At 41.7% G+C, this 17327-nt stretch overlaps 1 annotated feature.

Moving 5' to 3' along the window:
* Positions 16368 to 16988: a transcriptional cis regulatory region, noted in NCBI's record as "candidate enhancer chr18.1136 targeted for multiplex CRISPR interference". NCBI's record gives its function as "positively regulates SKA1 gene expression with high confidence in K562 cells {active_cell/tissue: K562}" and the evidence as "EXISTENCE:mutant phenotype evidence [ECO:0000015][PMID:30612741]".

Consider the following 17327-nt stretch of genomic DNA (forward strand, 5'->3'; position numbering starts at 1 on the left):
TCTCAAAGTGTAGCGTTTCTCTATAACTCGCTTGGTTACAACAACTATCCTTTGGCTTCTTTGCTCTTCCATCACCTGTGTATCTAATTTACAGTTTTAAATTCCAACACCCCTCCCCGCCATTGAAATACCTAGAGTGGTTTCTGTTTTCCTGACTAGAACCTGATTCCCACTAGCCAAATTAGGAGCAATTTAAACTTAAACATAAAATAATACCAATTGACTCAAACACATATAAAAATATTTGCATTCCTTATGATTCCCCCCAAAAAGAGAAAGCCCAAATTCCTAGTATTGGTGGACTCTTCTACACCAACTTCTTTCTCTGAACATTGGTAATTAAAGTAAAAGTTATCCTGCTTTTAGAATCATATTTCAGGATAACCAAATAGCCCAAGTGGATAAGGGAAACTGTTCTTTACAGAAGGAGGCCAGCTATATATGTCAAATGAATGGTAAAACTAGAAAATTACTTTTTTGTAACTCCTAATAATTGATTTACATAAGGGTCATCAATGCACGCTAAAATCATAAGGTAAAACACTGGTAGGAAACCATGCCTTTACTTGGTAGTCAGAAGAGGGGAGCGGTAACTTTAAATGGAGAGATTTGGCTTTCACTACTTGGGGCAGATTGCATATTCCAAAGATGGATGGGAGAATTCTATATCCCATTCCCATATGCTCTTTCAGTGTGATGTCAACACTCCTCCATCAAGAGGCAGGTTCTTTTTTCCCTCTGTCTGAATCTGGGCTATCTTTAACTGCTTCAACCTACAGAGTGGAGAAGCGACACTGCATGATTTCTAAGGCTAGCTCTTACAATACGGCTTTCATCTGGTTCACTTTCTCTCTTGGGACGCTTGCCCTTAGAACCCTGCCACCACGTTGTGAGAAAGCCAAGGCCAAATGGAGAGTTCACATAACTGCTATTACTATCTGCCAGTCATGTGAGCAAATGAACCTTCGGATGATTTTAGCTGCCAACCTTCATTTAAGTTATTTTGCTGAGATTCCAGACATCAAGAAGCAAAGACAAGCTGTTCCAGCTATGCTTTGTCCGAATTCAGAACTTGCAGAAATCATGAAAAATACTAAATAATTATGGTGGTTTAAAGACATGTTTTTGCATAATTTGTTATATAAGAGATAATGAATACACTACTCAACTTTGCATCACCAGTAGTGGAACATTCGGACATTATGCACCTCCTAAATGTGATACAATATGAAGTAGACATTCCTCTGTGTACTACCTATGAAGTATTGTTGCAGAATTTTGTTCCTTAGTTCTTGTCACATGACCAGGAAAATTTAGGCACACGAATACATTGAAGGGTGAGTAGGGCAGGATTTTATTGGGTGAAAAGGGAAAAAAAAATATCAGCAAAGTGAGATGGAGTCCTGCTAACAAGCTCCCCACCTCACAGATTGAATCCCAGGCCACCACACAGGATCTGAAGAGGCCAGGCTCCTCCCACCTGCCCATGGCTCCACCCCGTTTCCCCAGTGCACATGTGGGCATGTGCAGAAAAGGCCCTGAGCAGGTTCCCTCATCTGCACAAAAGCATCCGATGTAAACACTTATGGGGCATGTCGGAGATTCTCCAGGGACCCCTTTTTATCTGCCTAGGCATTTGGCTGTCTCTGTGTTACTGCCAAAAACATTAAACCTGAATCTAATTAAGGCTTTAGCTCTATCATCTAGTTGATAGGAAACATAGGGGAAAGAGAAACAAGCTAAATATCACCATGAAGAAATGATCAGGCAAATCTGTGTATAACATAAATAACCTGGTCTCTTAAATGCAAGTCAATGTCATTGAAAAAACAGATCCTCTTTCAGATTAAAAGATTTAAGAGCATAACCAAATATAAACCATGAACCTTGACTGGATTCAGTTTTGAGGGGGAAAAAAAAGATATAGGGACAACTGTTGAAATTTTAAGAAGGATTGTATATTAGGTGTCAAAGGGGAATTGTTTTGTTATGATAATGGCATTGTGGTTATGCAGGAGAATATCCTTATTTTCTGCAGCTGCATGCTGAGATATTTAGTGGTAAAATAATATATGATGTAAATAATATGCTTTAAAATGGGTCCAGCAATATAATTGGAAAGTTACATACATATATAGAACATATAAGGCAACGTGTTAATTGTTCAACCTAGCTGAAGGGCATCTTAGTGTTCATTGTATTATTCTTTCTAACTTTCTGAATGTTTTAAAAAATATTTCCTAATACAATTAATGCCTGTGTGAAACAAATGTACTGATTGGATATTTACATTTTATGAAATGTTCATTGATAAGAACTTGTGGGCTGGTGAAGTTGGGAAAGAAGGGAGAAGTGTTAGTAATCAATTATGAGCTCATATGCTATTTCCAGTACTCTGGTGAAATTCACTGTCCAGTGCTTCCCATCTGCATGCATTCTTCCCGACACTACTCACTGAGCCTAGGCTGAATGTTTGAACTTTTGTATTAGATTAAGGGGGTGAAGATATGAATTTCTTGAGTTATACTGTATATAAATATTATGTCTATACACAAAGCAATGTATTTGGCTTCTGACTTATCCATGGAGAAATGATATGCAGTGTATAAAGCTTGATATCTGAAAACTCTGTCATTTTTAAAGTACTACATTTTCTTCCTTTTTTTTTTTTTTTGAGATGGAGTCTCACTCTTGCCCAGGCTGGAGTGCAGTGGTGCGATCTCAGCTCACTGCAGCCTCCGCCTCCTGGGTTCAAGTGATTCTCCTGCCTCAGCTTCCTGAGCAGTTGGGATTACATGCACACACCACCACGCCAAGCTAGTTTTTGTATTTTTAGTAGAGACAGGGTTTTGCCATGTTGGCCAGGCTGATCTCAAACTCCTGACCTCAGGGGATCTGCCTGCCTCAGCCTCCCAAAGTGTTGGGATTACAGGCGTGAGCCACCGTGCCCAGCTAAAGTACTACATTTTCAAATAAGCTTAGGACTGCAGGTGATTAACATGGACAGATTTTCATTACCAATGCAGGTTTATCTTTATTATCATGAGACTATTATTCTTTGTAACAACTGTAATGCAATTTCAGACTAATATTTTAAATCTAGGATCAGTGAGGCAACTCAAAAAGCTCAGGTAATTACAATTTTATTTCTTCAGATAGTTCAACCTGATAAATGTGGGCTGTTCCAATTACAGATATTTTCTTGGTATAGTGATTGTGAGCTGTGCCTCATTTTCATACAAAAAAATTGCAACTCTGATCCTTAATTGTGACTCAAATTAAATTTTCAGGAATACTCTTTAACTTTAAAAATTATCCAACAACATGTTGTACCAAAGAGAACACATGAAAAAACCTGTGAGCATCAGAAAACCTGGGTCTAGGCCTAGCTCTGCCGTTTACTCACTTTTGGTTCTACCTTCAAAATATAATCCAAATTTGGCTCCTTCTCACAAACTTGGTGTCTACCACACTGGTCCCAAACAATATCATCTCTCCACTGGATTATTAAAAAACCGGTCCTGCTGATTTTGTTCTTGCCCCTACTGTGGAGTCTCCACATGCACCAGAGTTGGATTAGGTCACTCCACTACTGGGGAACCTCTGGTAGCTTCCTTTTTCTCTCAGAGTAGAAGCCTAGTTCTTACCAAGGCCTATAAGGCCCTTCACGGGTCACACCTCAACGCAGGGGCATCATCTTCTAAGCCTCCCTATGCTGACTGCTCCAAAACCTTTTGGCCTCCATTCTGTTTCTGGAACAGGCTAAATATGAGTCTACCTCACACCATTGTGCTGGCTGTTGCCTTGGCCCAGGAAGCTCTCCGCCCCTGCCAGTGACCTCCTCCTTACCTCCCTTACATCTCTGTTCAATGTCATTTGATCCTTTAGGCCAATGGTCCCCAACCTTTTTGGCACCAGGGACCAGTTTCATGGAAGACAATTTTTCCATGGACCGGGGTTGGGGGATGCTTTGGTGATGATTCAAGCACATTACATTTATGGTGTACTTAATTTCTATTATTATTGTATTGTAATATATAATGAAATAATTCTACAACTCACCATAATGTAGACTCAGTGGGAGCCCTGAGCTTGTTTTCCTGCAGCTAGACGGTCCCCTCTGGGAGACAGTGACAGATCATAAGATCATCAGGCATTAGATTCTCATAAGGAGTGTGCAACCTAGATTCCTTGCATGTAGAGTTCACAGTAGGGTTCGTGCTCCTATGAGAATTTAATGCCACTGCTGATCTGACAGGAGGTGAAGCTCAAGCGGTTATGCGAGCAATGGGGAGCAGCTGTAAATACAGGTGAAGCTTTGCTCACTTGCCCACCACTCACCTCCTGCTGTGTGGCCCAGTTCCTAGCAGGTCATGGACCAGTACCAGTCCATGGCCCAGAGGTTGGGGACCCCTGCTTTAGACCTTTTTGGATCACCCTATGTTAAAAATTACAGCTCCATTCTGCAACAGTTTCTCCACACTTACGTCCATCTGATGGTTTATATATTTTATTTGTCTTTCTCTCCCCACTAGAATTCTAATAAATGAAAGCAGGAGTTTTTGTCCCTTCTGTTCACTGCTGTGTCTGAAAGCTGTTCCAATAGGGCTCTACAATAGAGGGCACTAAGTCAACATTTGTTGAATGCATATTAACTGAAAGTTGGTGGCCTTGGGCAAATGACTTCTTTCCATGCTTCAGCTTCCTCCTGTATGTATCAAGATGGTTGCATAAACATCTCTCTAAGGACCTTCTAGTTTTAATATTCTATGATTCTAATATTTCTAGTTACTTCTGGGCAATACATTTATGATGAAATTAAAGGATATTCTCTCTGACTTCTCAAAGGAAGACATACAGGCACCCAACAATCATATGGAAAAATGATCAACATCACTAATCATTAGAGAAATGCAAGTCAAAACCACAATGAGCTACCATTTCACACTTGTCAGAATGGCTATTATTAAAAAGTCAAAAAACAGCAGATGGTGGCAAGGTTATGAAGAAAAGGGAACACTTATACACTGCTGGTAAGATCATAAATTAGTTTAGCCACTATGGAAGACAGTTTGAACATTTCTCAAGGGACTTAGAATTAGCATTCAACCCAGCAATCCCATTACTGGGCATACTCAAAAGATGATAAATTGTTCTACCATAAAGACACATGTACATGTATGTTCATAGTGCCCATCAATGGTAGTCTGGATAAATAAAATGTACATATACACAATAGAACACTATGCAGCCATTAAAAAGAACAAGATCATGTCCTTTGCAGCAACATGGATGGAGCTGGAGGCCATTATCCTAAGCAAATTAACACAGGGACAGAAAACCAAATAGTAAATGTTCTCACTTATAAGTGGGAGCTAAACATTGAGTACACATGGGCACAAAGAAAGGAACAGCAGACACCAGGGCCTACTTGAGGGTGGAGGTTGGGAGGAGGGTGAGGATCAAAAAACTACTTATCAGGTACTATGCTTATTACCTGAGTGACAAAATAATCTGTACATCAAACCCTGCAATATGAAATTTACCCATGTAACAAACCTGCACATGCACCCCCAAATCTGAAATAAAAGGTGGAAAGAGAAAAAAAAGGATATTCCGTCTGGATGGGTCATAAAATATGTAAAAAACATTCTGATAATTACACGCAAGTCTCATCTTTTAAGAAAAGAGTCTCTAAATTAGGCTTCAAGAAATACTGAAATTCTGTTACTAATTACGTAATAAAAACTAAGAAGCTTTCATTGACTAAGGACCTTGATAAAAACGTGGCCTTTTTTTCAGTCAATATTTTTAGTTTTCTAATTTATTTTGCTTATTAAGTATGGCTTTAATATTTTATAATTTATAAGTAAATTATACCTAATCATAAATGAAATGAGTGTAGTGCTTTGAGTAGCATTATATTTGATAGTATGCAGTTTTGTTTCATAATATTAAATGATTGCTTTTATGAAATATCCCATCTCCTAATAAACCATTGCCATTGTTCCACAAATATACTTACTAATATAAGTGGCAAAAGGGAAGAATTACTCAAGATATTGAGGGATCTTCCTGATACATTGCAAAGAATGTGACTCAAACTGGAGCTAAGACTATATATGATTAGAGAGTTGAATATAATTTAATATAATATCAATTTAGCTCTGTTAAAATTAGGTTGACTCAAGTCTCTAAGGAACACACAAAAGTATTTATGAGAAATTATAATGTGACTAGCAGACTGTGCCTCAAATTCTTTATTATGAGTACTCTTTTGCCCTGGTATATTGAAAAGCAGTTAAGTTAGGCAACTTAGAAACAAAATCTTGTTTAAAAAACTAAGATAAAATTTACATACAGTGAAATGTACAGATCTTAAGGATATGGCTCAGTGAGTGTTGACCAGTCCATATAGCCATGTAACCCACACCTCTATCCTTTTTTTAGTCATTTAATAAAATTCTTTTTATTTTGAAATAATTATAGATTCACATGCAGTGGTAAGAAATAACAGAGAGATCCCCTGTACCCTTTATCACAATGGTAACATCTTGCAAATCTGTGTAGTACAGTATCACAACCAGGATATTGACATTGATACAGTGAAGATACAGAACATTTCCATCACCACAAGGATCCTTTTTGTGTGAACATGTCTTCACTTCTCTGGGAGTGCAGTTCCCCAGAGTGTTCTTGCTGGATCCTATGGTAGTTGTTTATTTAGTTTTCTTTTTTTAATTGTCAAATTGTTCCCCAGAGTGGCTGTACTATTTTAAATTTCCCACTAAGCGCTGCTTTTTCTGTACCCCACAAATTTTGATAAGTTGTATCTTCATTTACCTTCTTTCAAAATATTCTAAAATTTCTCAAAACTCCTTTTTTTAACCCATGTGTATTTACAAGTGTGTGGTTTTATTTCCAAATATTTTCAGATTTTTCTATATATCTTTGTGTTATTGATTTTTTTGTTTAATTCCATGTTGTTCTGAGAACATACTTCGTATGATTTCTATTGTATGATTAAGTTGTGATTTCTGGACTGGGATGTGGTTTATCCTAGTGAATATTCCATGTGAGCTTGAGAAGAATGTGTATTCCACTGTTGTTGGATGAAGTATTCTATAAATGTCAATTAAATTCAGTTGACTGATGGTTTATTGTTCAGCTCAACCACATCTATACTGATTTTCTGCCTGCTGCGTCTATCAATTACTGATAGAGGGGTATTGAAGTCTCCAACTATAATAGTGACTTTGTCTATTTCTCTTGCAGTTCCATCAGTTTTTGCCTTATATATTTTGATGCTCTGTTGTTAGGTGTACACACACTAAGGATTATTATGTCTTTTTGGAGAATTTACCCCTTTATCATTAATGTCTCTCTTTTCCTGGTCATTTTCTTTGTTCTAAAGTTGGCTTTGTCTAAAACTTATATATAGGTACACCAGCTTTCTTTCAATTAGTGTTAGCAAGGTGTATATATCTTTTTCCATTCTTTTATTTTTAATCTATTTGCATATTTATATTTATAATGGTTTTCTTTTAGACAGCCTCTACTTGGGTCTTGGTTTTTTTAATCTACTCTGACAGTGTTTGTCCTTTAATTGATATATTTAGAAAATTCACCTCTAAAGTGATTATTGATATATTTAGGTTAATATCCACCATATTTGCTACTGTTTTCTATTTGTGGCACTTGTTTTTGTTTTTGTTTTTGTTTTCAGAAAACATTCCCTTCTTTTTCTGACTTCTCTGTTTTAAGGATTTTATATCATTCCATTTTCTCTCCTCTCTTAGCAATATATATTATCTTCTTTTAAAACATTTTCCTATTGTTTGTCCTAGAGTTTGCAATATATATTTACAATTAATATAAGTCCAATTTCAAATAACAGTATACCAGTTCATGGGTAGTATATGTACCTTGTACAAGAATATGTCGTTTCTTCTTACTGTGCCTTGTAAGATCAATCATTTCACTTACCCACAAATTATAATCACCTAAAACATTGTTGCTATTATTATTTTAAACCAACAATAATCTATTAGAACAATTATGAACATAAAAAATAAAAGATTTTATTTTATCTTCATTTATTCCTTCTCCAAATGCCCTTCCTTTCTGAAAATATATGTCAGATCAAGTTTCTGACATATATCATTTTCCTTCTGCCTGAAGAAATTCTTTTTTTTTTTTTTTTTTTTTTTAGTATTTATTGATTATTCTTGGGTGTTTCTCAGAGAGGGGGATGTGGCAGGGTCATAGGATAATAGTGGAGAGAAGGTCAGCAGATAAACATGTGAACAAAGGTCTCTGGTTTTCCTAGGCAGAGGTCCCTGTGGCCTTCCGCAGTGTTTGTTTCTCTGGGTACTTGAGATTAGGGAGTGGTGATGACTCTTAACAAGCTTGATGCCTTCAAGCATCTGTTTAACAAAGCACATCTTGCACCGCCCTTAATCCATTTAACCCTGAGTTGACACAGCACATGTTTCAGAGAGCACGGGGTTGGGGGTAAGGTTATAGATTAACAACATCCCAAGGCAGAAGAATTTTTCTTAGTACAGAACAAAATGGAGTCTCCTATGTCTACTTCTTTCTACACAGACACAGTAACAATCTGATCTCTCTTTCTTTTCCCCACATTTCCCCATTTTCTTTTCGACAAAACCGCCATCGTCATCATGGCCCATTCTCAATGGTCGCTGTCTCTTCGGAGCTGTTGGGTACACCTGCAGAAAGGCTGTCACTTCACACTTGGAAGATTGCACAGCAGCCATGCAGAGGCGCTCCTCACTTCCCAGATGGGGTGGCCGGGTAGAGACGCTCCTCACCTCCCAGACGGGGCGGCCAGGCAGAGGTGCTCCTCACCTCCCAGACGGGGCGGCCGGGCAGAGGAGCTCCTCACCTCCCAGACGGGGCGGCCGGGCAGAGGCGCTCCTCACTTCCCAGACGGGGCGGCCGGGCAGAGGCGCTCCTCACATCCCAGACGGGGCGGCCGGGCAGAGGCGCTCCTCACTTCCCAGATGGGGCGGCCGGGCAGAGGCGCTCCTCACTTCCCAGACGGGGCGGCCGGGCAGAGGAGCTCCTCAACTCCCAGACGGGGTGGCGGCCGGGCAGAGGTGCTCCTCACATCCCAGACAATGGGCGGCCGGGCAGAGGCGCTCCTCACTTCCCAGATGATGGGTGGCTGGGCAGTGATGCTCCTCACTTCCTAGATGGGGTGGCGGCCAGGCAGAGAGGCTCCTCACTTCCTAGACGGGGTGGCGGCTGGGCAGAGACGCTCCTCACCTCCCAGACAGGGTGGCGGCCGGGCAGAGGCACTCCTCACCTCCCAGACGGGGTGGCGGCTGGGCAGAGGCTGTAATCTTAGCACTTTGGGAGGCCAAGGCAGGCGGCTGGGAGGTGGAGGTTGTAGCGAGCTGAGATCACGCCACTGCACTCCAGCCTGGGCAACATTGAGCACTGAGTGAGCGAGACTCCGTCTGCAATCCCAGCACCTTGGGGGGCCAAGGCGGGCAGATCACTTGAGGTCAGGAGCTGGAGACCAGCACGGCCAACATGGCGAAACCCCGTCTCCACCAAAAATACAAAAACCAGTCAGGCATGGCGGCACGTGCCTGCAATCCCAGGTACTCGGCAGGCCGAGGCAGGAGAATCAGGGGAGCCCGAGGCAGGGAGGTTGCAGCGAGCCGAGATCACGACAGTACAGTCCAGCCTCAGCAACAGAGGGAGACTGTAGAAAGAAAGAAAGAGAGAGAGAGAGAGAGAGGAAGGAAGGAAGGAAGGAAGGAAGGAAGGAGAAATTCTTTTAACATTTCTTGCAAAGCAGGTCAACTGACAACAAACTCCCTCAGATTTATTTGTCTGAAAAGTCTTCATTTTTCTTTCACTCTTGAAGGATACTTTTCTGTTTTTTTTCCTTTCAACATCTTAAATCTATCACTTTATTGTCTTCTTGTTTGCATAGTTATTGATGAGAAGTCTGATGTGATTCTTATTCTTGTTGCTGTTATAGGTGAAGTGGGGTTCTTTCTTTTTTGCCCTGACTTCTTCCAAGATTTTCTCTTTTTCTTTGGCTTTCTGTAGTTTTAATACAATATGCTCTGGTATAGGTTTTTTGGTATTTATCTTTGGTGTTTTCTAAGATTCTTAGATCTGTGGTTCGTATCTGTCATTAATTTTGGGAAATTCTCCGGCACTATTGCTTCAAATATTTCTTTCTCTCCATCCTCTCTTTCCACTCCTTGTATTTCTATTACATGTATGTTTCCCAGCTGTTCACTCATTAGTCCTGGGTCACAGGTTATTTACTCCTAAGGCCCTTCTGTTGTTTCCATAGAAAGCCAAAGCTGTTTAAAAAGCCCCTCTAACTTAGCAGGATTCAGTATCCAAACTTTGTCTCCCTTTTTGTAGGTAGCAGCTGATATCATTACTCAACTTTTTTGCCTTCCAGCTGTTGCTTTCCAATGTACTCCTTGGAGGCCCCTCTTCTGGATGGAATGTGTAAGTAGATTTGGGGGCTTCTCCCTCTGTGGCTCCTTCTTCTCTAGAATTTTGCCCTCCATTATCAGCCATTCTGGAACTTCCCAGTCCTCCCATTGACACCTCAAGCCAGTAAGACTGCTTTCTATTTTTAGTTGTAGGGCTAGCGACTGAGAAATACCCTCAGGGAAAAATACCTGTCTACATGTAGATCTTACCCAGTTTAATTCCTTTCTTTCTGGAGACATATTCTTTTTATTTTTTTACTTTTTATGTTTGGGGTACACATGAAGGTTTGTAACATAGGTAAACTCGTGTCATGGCGGTTTGTTCTACAGATTATTTCATCACCCAGGTATTAAGCCCAGTATCCAATAGCTATCTTTTCTGCTTCTCTCCCTCTTCCCACCCTCCCTACTCAAGTAGACGCCAGTGTCTGTTGTTTGCTTCTTTGTGTTCATGAGTTCCCATCATTTAGCTCCCACTTATAAGTGAGAACATGCGGTATTTGGTTTTCTGTTTCTGCATTGGTTTGCTAAGGACAATAGCCTCTAGCTCCAACCACGTTCCCAGAAAAGACATGATCTCGTTCTACTTTATGGCTGTAGAGTATTCCATGATGTATATGTACCACATTTTCTTTACCTAATCTGTCATTGATACGCATTTAGGTTGATTCCATATCTCTGCTACTGTGAATAGTGCTGCAACAAACATTCGTGTGCATGTGTCTTTAATGGTAGAATAATCTATATTACTCTGGGTATATGCCCAGTAATGGGATTGCTGGGTCAAATGGTAGTTCTGCATTTAGCTCTTTGAGGAATTGCCATACTGCTTTCCAAAATTATTCAAACTAATTTACACTCACCCAAACAGCAAAGATAGAAGACTGCCCCTCCCTCTGGGAGCTCCCACACAGGAAGGTTTCAAATCTGTTTGCTGGAGAATACCAGCAAAGGTGAGTGGAGACCCGGGTTGGGAGGTCCCACCCAGTGAGGAGGAATGGGATCGTGCACCTGCTTTAAGAAAAGCAGTTTGGGCCGGGCGAGGTGGCTCACGCCTGTAATCCCAGCACTTTGGGAGGCCGAGGCGGGCAGATCACAAGGTCAGGAGATCGAGACCATCCTGGCTAACATGGTGAAACCCCGTCTCTACCAAAAATACAAAAAATTAGCCGGGCTTGGTGGCGGGAACCTGTAGTCCCAGCTGCTGGGGAAGCTGAGGCAGGAGAATGGCGTGAACCCGGGAGGCGGAGCTTGCAGTGAGCCGAGATCGCGCCACTGCACTCCAGCCTGGGTGACAGAGCGAGACTCCATCTCAAAAAAAAAACAGTTTGGCCATATTTTCATAGAGCAGCTTTGCTGTGCTGGGGAACCACTTCTACCACCACTGGGCTTGGAATGGCTAAGTCATCCAAACAGCAAAGATGGCAACGCATCCCTTCCTCTGGGAGCTCTGTCCCAGGGAGCTTTCAAATCTCTGTTGGCCAGAAAACACCGGCAGGGGTGGGTGGAGACCCCGGTTGGGAGGTCCTGACGGTGAGGAGGAATGGAGTCGGGGACCCACTTTAAAAAGCAGTCTGGCCACGTTTTTGTAGACCAGCTATGCTGTGCTGGGGTATCCCTTCCACCGCTGGTCGCCTTGGATTCTCCAAAGCCCCAAGGCTGAAATGGCTAAGTTGCCCAAACAGCCAAGATGGCAGCCTGCCTTTCACCCTGGGAGCTTCCTCTCAGGGAGGTGCAATGCTGCTGCCAGGGACTGGCTGGAATTCTAAGCCAGTGGGTCTTATCCTGTTAGATGCTGTGGAAGTGGGGCCTGCAGACTTTCACTTCTCAGCCTCCTGGATTCAGCCTCATTCCTAGGGGTATATAGGAGGGTCTAACCTCCTGCTTTGTCAGAGTTGCAGCTACTTTTGCCAGGAAGCCCAGAAAGCCTGGGTATTGATGGCTCCCAGATTTCCACAGGTGTCTGAGTGGCTGCTCTGCCAAGACCCCACGTAGCTCTGTGCATCAGAATGAAGGCCCTGGTGGGGGGGGTTCACAAGGGGATCTCCTGACCCAAGATCCGTGGGAGAAGCATGGGTTCCTGGGGTCACACATTCACTCACGGCTTCCCTGAGCAGGGGAGGTTCCCCCGGCTCCATGTTGCTCCTGGGTGGGCTGTCATCCTGCCTTGCTTTTCTCCATTCTCCATGGGTCGAGTTGTTTCCTTGATTGGTTCCAATCTAAGTACCTGGATGTTTCCGTTGAAGGTTCTGTATTTACTCGCTCCTTTTATTCCTCTCCATGAGAGCCACGCACAGTAGCTGCTTCTTGTCAGCCATCTTGGCCACCTCCCTCAGAGACATACTCTCATTTCCAGTTCTGCCTGCTTTGGTCATTTTCAAAAGCCTTCAAATAGTTGGTTTTTTAAACATTTTGAACAGAATTTACAATTGTTATCTATGGGAGAATTAGTACATTTTAAGCTACTCCGTTACTGGAACCAGAACCTAGGAAGCTGTCTCTTTACCTTTTTGACCAGAGCAGCAAAGTATTCTTTTAGACTGTAGATATTACCCCTCATCTCCCTTGGTTACTGGTAATCCAAAAGGTTATGTGCCTGCTGTATTTTCTGCAGGGTCCATTAATATTTTTCTACTGAGAGTAGAGGGTAAGGAGAGCCACATTTTTCTGTTTTGAACATTTGTATTTTGGATTTAAGATTTTCTTCAGGAAAGACACATGTATAGTGGGCCCTCCATATCTGTAGGTTCTACATCCAGGAGGGGATTCAACCAACCATGGATGGAAAATATTTTTTAAAAATGATAAAAAATAACAACACAACAAATTTAAAAGTTAAAAATACAACATAACTATTTACATAGCATTTACATTGTATTAGGTCTTATAGGTAATCTAGAGATGATTTAAAGTATACAGGAGGATGTGCATAGGGTGCGTAGGTTATATGTAAATACTTTGCCATTTTGTAAAAGAAACTTGGGCATCCTTGGATTTTGGGTATCTTCAGAGGGTCCTGGAACCAATCTCCCGCAGATATTGAGGGACAACTGTATAGCTACACTTAATTCTGGCCTGTTTCCACAGCTTGGATGAATGTTGAGAGAATTGTGTCTCTATTTATATTTTTATTATCAAAGATAATAATTAAGGTAAATACTTCTGCCAGCTGTCTTTTTTCATGTCCTTCATTTTATCAGAAGCAGCTTTTAGTATTCGTAATCTAGAAATAAATGACTCACTTCTGGTAAGCATTTCCAAGTTAGAGAGCATGATAAATCATACCAATAATTTGTTTCCCTGAATTGAACACCCAAACCTCTGCTGTTCCATATGCAGGGCATGGAGGTAGGTGTTCTCTTCTATTCTGAGGATTTCCTTGGAGGTGGGATTGGATTCAGAGATGTATATTCACAAACACCAATGCCATTATGAGCATAAGCTGGCTTCTACCTTAGAGAGAACAGCTCTTGCTGCTTTCCTAACTTGCTCTGAGACGAGACTCCTGGATTTGCAGCAGCCCTGTCATGTAAACTGCCAGATTCCCAGTTCTGGAGCCCAGTTTGTCCTTTTAAGATTAGAAAGCAGCAGTGTTCTAACCCTGTAGCCTAGGAGTTCATGTGGCAGATGTGATTTGCTGCTTGTGTATGCCATAAGGGCAGAGACAGAATGATTTTTAAAAATCATGTTTTTATAATAGTCATTTGCAACATTAAGAGATTGGGCCCCAAGAGTCTAATGGCTAATTTTATAAGGGGTTAAATCTCATGTGATGTTGACAGTCCTCCTCTGGATGGCTATAATCTCAAATAGCGAGAGTCTGTTCCCTGCCGTAAAAGATCACATGGATTACTTATAAGGATGAAAAGCAACTATCCCAGTCTCCTTAGCCTTTAATTTATCTTCCTTATCTGATTCGACCTCCTATGTTGGCCATTTCTCAATAATCTTTTCCATCTACTCTTTGGTTCATCCTGTATCTATTCGTAAACCCAGCCCTATCCTCAGCCTCTCCTGGCTGCATGTGGTCTGAACATTTGGTCCCCTGAAATATACTCTTTCATGCCCTTTTTAGTCAGTGGCTTCTGGGGAAGATCTTGAGAGAAACTTTCCCATAGTGGCTTTTCATCTTTTTTCCCCTACTCTAATAGACAAGATAGATCTGTTTGTCCACTTGACAAATATCTATTGAGCATCTACTTGGATTCAGGCATGGTCTTAGGGACTGAGGATCAGTGATCTCAAGAAAGATATAAGTTTTTTCTTCCACGAAGCTCACATTCTAGGAAGGATTACAGCTAAGTAAATGAAAAATAGTAGTGTGATAAATGCTTTGATATGGGCATAGAGGATATTACAGGGACATGTGAAAGCACCTAATATAAATGTATAGGGATGATATGGTTTGAATATTTGTACTCGCCAAATTTCATGCTGAAATTGCAATCCCTAATGTTGGAGGTGGGGCCTGAGGGGAGGTATTTGGGTCATTGGGGTGGATCCCTCATGGCTTGATGCTGTCCCCCTGATAGTGAGTTCTCATGAGATCTGGTTGTTTGAAAGTGTGTGGCACCTCTGCCTGTCTCTCTTGCTCTGGCTATCCCCATGTGACACACCTGCTCCCCCAGTCCCTCTTTACCTTCTGCCATGATTGGAAGATTCCTGAGACCCTCACCAGAAGCAGATGCTGGAGCCATGCTGATACAGCCTGCAGAACCATGAGCCAATTAAATCTCTTTTCTTTATACATTACCCAGCCTCAGGTGTTTCTTTATAGCAATGCAAGAATAGCCTAACACAAGGGATCAAGGAAAATTTCCGGGGGAAGTTGCACTTATGCTTAGACCTGAGAGTGATTAGGAAGAGATGGGTTCCAAGTAGAAGGAACAGCATCTAACATAGCCATAAATGACACATATACAGGTGAGAATCCAGGAGTATGCCCAACCTTCAAGTGTATCTTATACTTACCCTTTTCTTCCCTGCTTAAGAGAGCATGTAGAAGAATATAAAGTGAGCAATAAGTCATTGTAGGGATAAATATGAATCTGCTCTAACTTTTTAAAAAGATAAATCGTAAATTATTTACAAGTTTTCTGTTAACTGAGAGTCCAGATATGATCCCACAGACATGCACTTTCAAGATGATTTAATGTTCCAGACAGTGTCTTATGCATAGACATTCATAAGGAAACAAAAAAGTCATAAGGGGCCAGGTGTGGTGGCTCATGCCTGCAATGCCAGCACTTTGGGAGGCCGAGGCAGGCAGATCACCTGAGGTCAGGAGTTCGAGACCAGCCTGGCTAACATGGTGAAACCCTGTCTTTACTAAAAATACAAACAATTAGCCAGGCATGGTGGTGGGTGCCTGTAATCCCAGCTACTGGGGAGGCTGAGGCAAGAGAATCACTTGAACCCGGGATGCAGAGGTTGCAGTGAGCTGAGATCACACCACTGCACTCCAGCTTGGGTGGCAGAGCAAGATACCTTCTCAAAAAAAAAAAAAAAAAAAAAAAAAAAAGGCCAGGTGCGGTGGCTCACGCCTGTAATACTAGCACTTTGGGAGGCTGAGGCGGGTGGATCACGAGGTCAGGAGATCGAAACCATCCTGGCTAATATGGTGAAACTCTGCCTCTACTAAAAAATACAAAAAATTAGCCAAGCGTGGTGGCAGGCACCTGTAGTCCCAGCTACTTGGGAGGCTGAGGCAGGAGAATGGTGTGAACCCAGGAGGAGGAGCTTGCAGTGAGCTGAGATCACGCCACTGCACTCCAGCCTGGGTGACACAGTGAGATTTCATCTCAAAAAAAAAAAAAAAAAAGAAAGAAAGAAAGAAAGAAAGAGAAAAAGTCATTAGAGAATGCACTGAAGCAGGAAATGTGAAAAAGAAAAACAAATTTTCCTCTCTCCTTTGGTATGAGTAAACGTCCCCCACAAAATTCCTCCCCACTCCATGTGGTTGTACTCTGCTCTGCAAGTTTTATGAGTTTATGGATTCCTATTTTCTGTAACTAGTGACTGTAAATTTCTGTTTTTCATCTGAGTAGCACAGTGAAGGTCATGAGACATGCCTGAGCAGGACTGGACTGCAGCCATCTAGGCACCATAGTGAAGGATATGAGATAAGCTTGTGCAAGGCTCTTGAGCAAGCTGAGATAACAGCCATCTGGGCCGCATAGCAAGAGTCACATGAAAGCCTGAGTTATGAACCTGTCACAGTTTGATTAACTGCCTTTGTTCTGCTTCCGTACACTTGCTTTCATGCCACTGCACTCCACGCCACTGTAAACTTGTTTCAAACTAGCCAACCACCTTTCAGAAGTGTGTATAAAAGTCAAGCCCTGTCTTTGTTCAGAGCCCAGCCTTTGGATGTTAATCCACGGGGCCTAAGTGCATTCAATAAAATCTTCCTGTTCCACCCAGAGGTCTCTCCAGTCTCCTGATTCCCGCAACAGCACCATCTCCCCAAAGGTAATCACCATTAAGAGTGAAAACAAATTCTTCTAGTGTTTTTCCTTTCCAAAAAGATACACATTATCAAATTTACAAAAAGAGCCTTATGTAATACATGTATGACTGGCTTTTAACATGTGATAGATTATAAACATTTTCATGTTAATAAATACTGTTTTATAATATAGTTTAAATACCTACAGGCTGGGTGCAGTTGCTCACACCTGTAATTCCAGCACTTTGGGAGGCCAAGGCAGGCAGATCACCCGAATCAGGCATTTGAGACCAGCCTGGCCAACTTGGTGAAACCCCATCTCTACAAAACACAAAATTAGCCAGGCGTGGTAGCACACTCCTGTAGTCCCAGCTACTCTGGAGGCT

This window comes from Homo sapiens, chromosome 18 (assembly GCF_000001405.40).
Source record: "Homo sapiens chromosome 18, GRCh38.p14 Primary Assembly".
NCBI classification, from domain to species: Eukaryota; Metazoa; Chordata; class Mammalia; order Primates; family Hominidae; genus Homo; species Homo sapiens.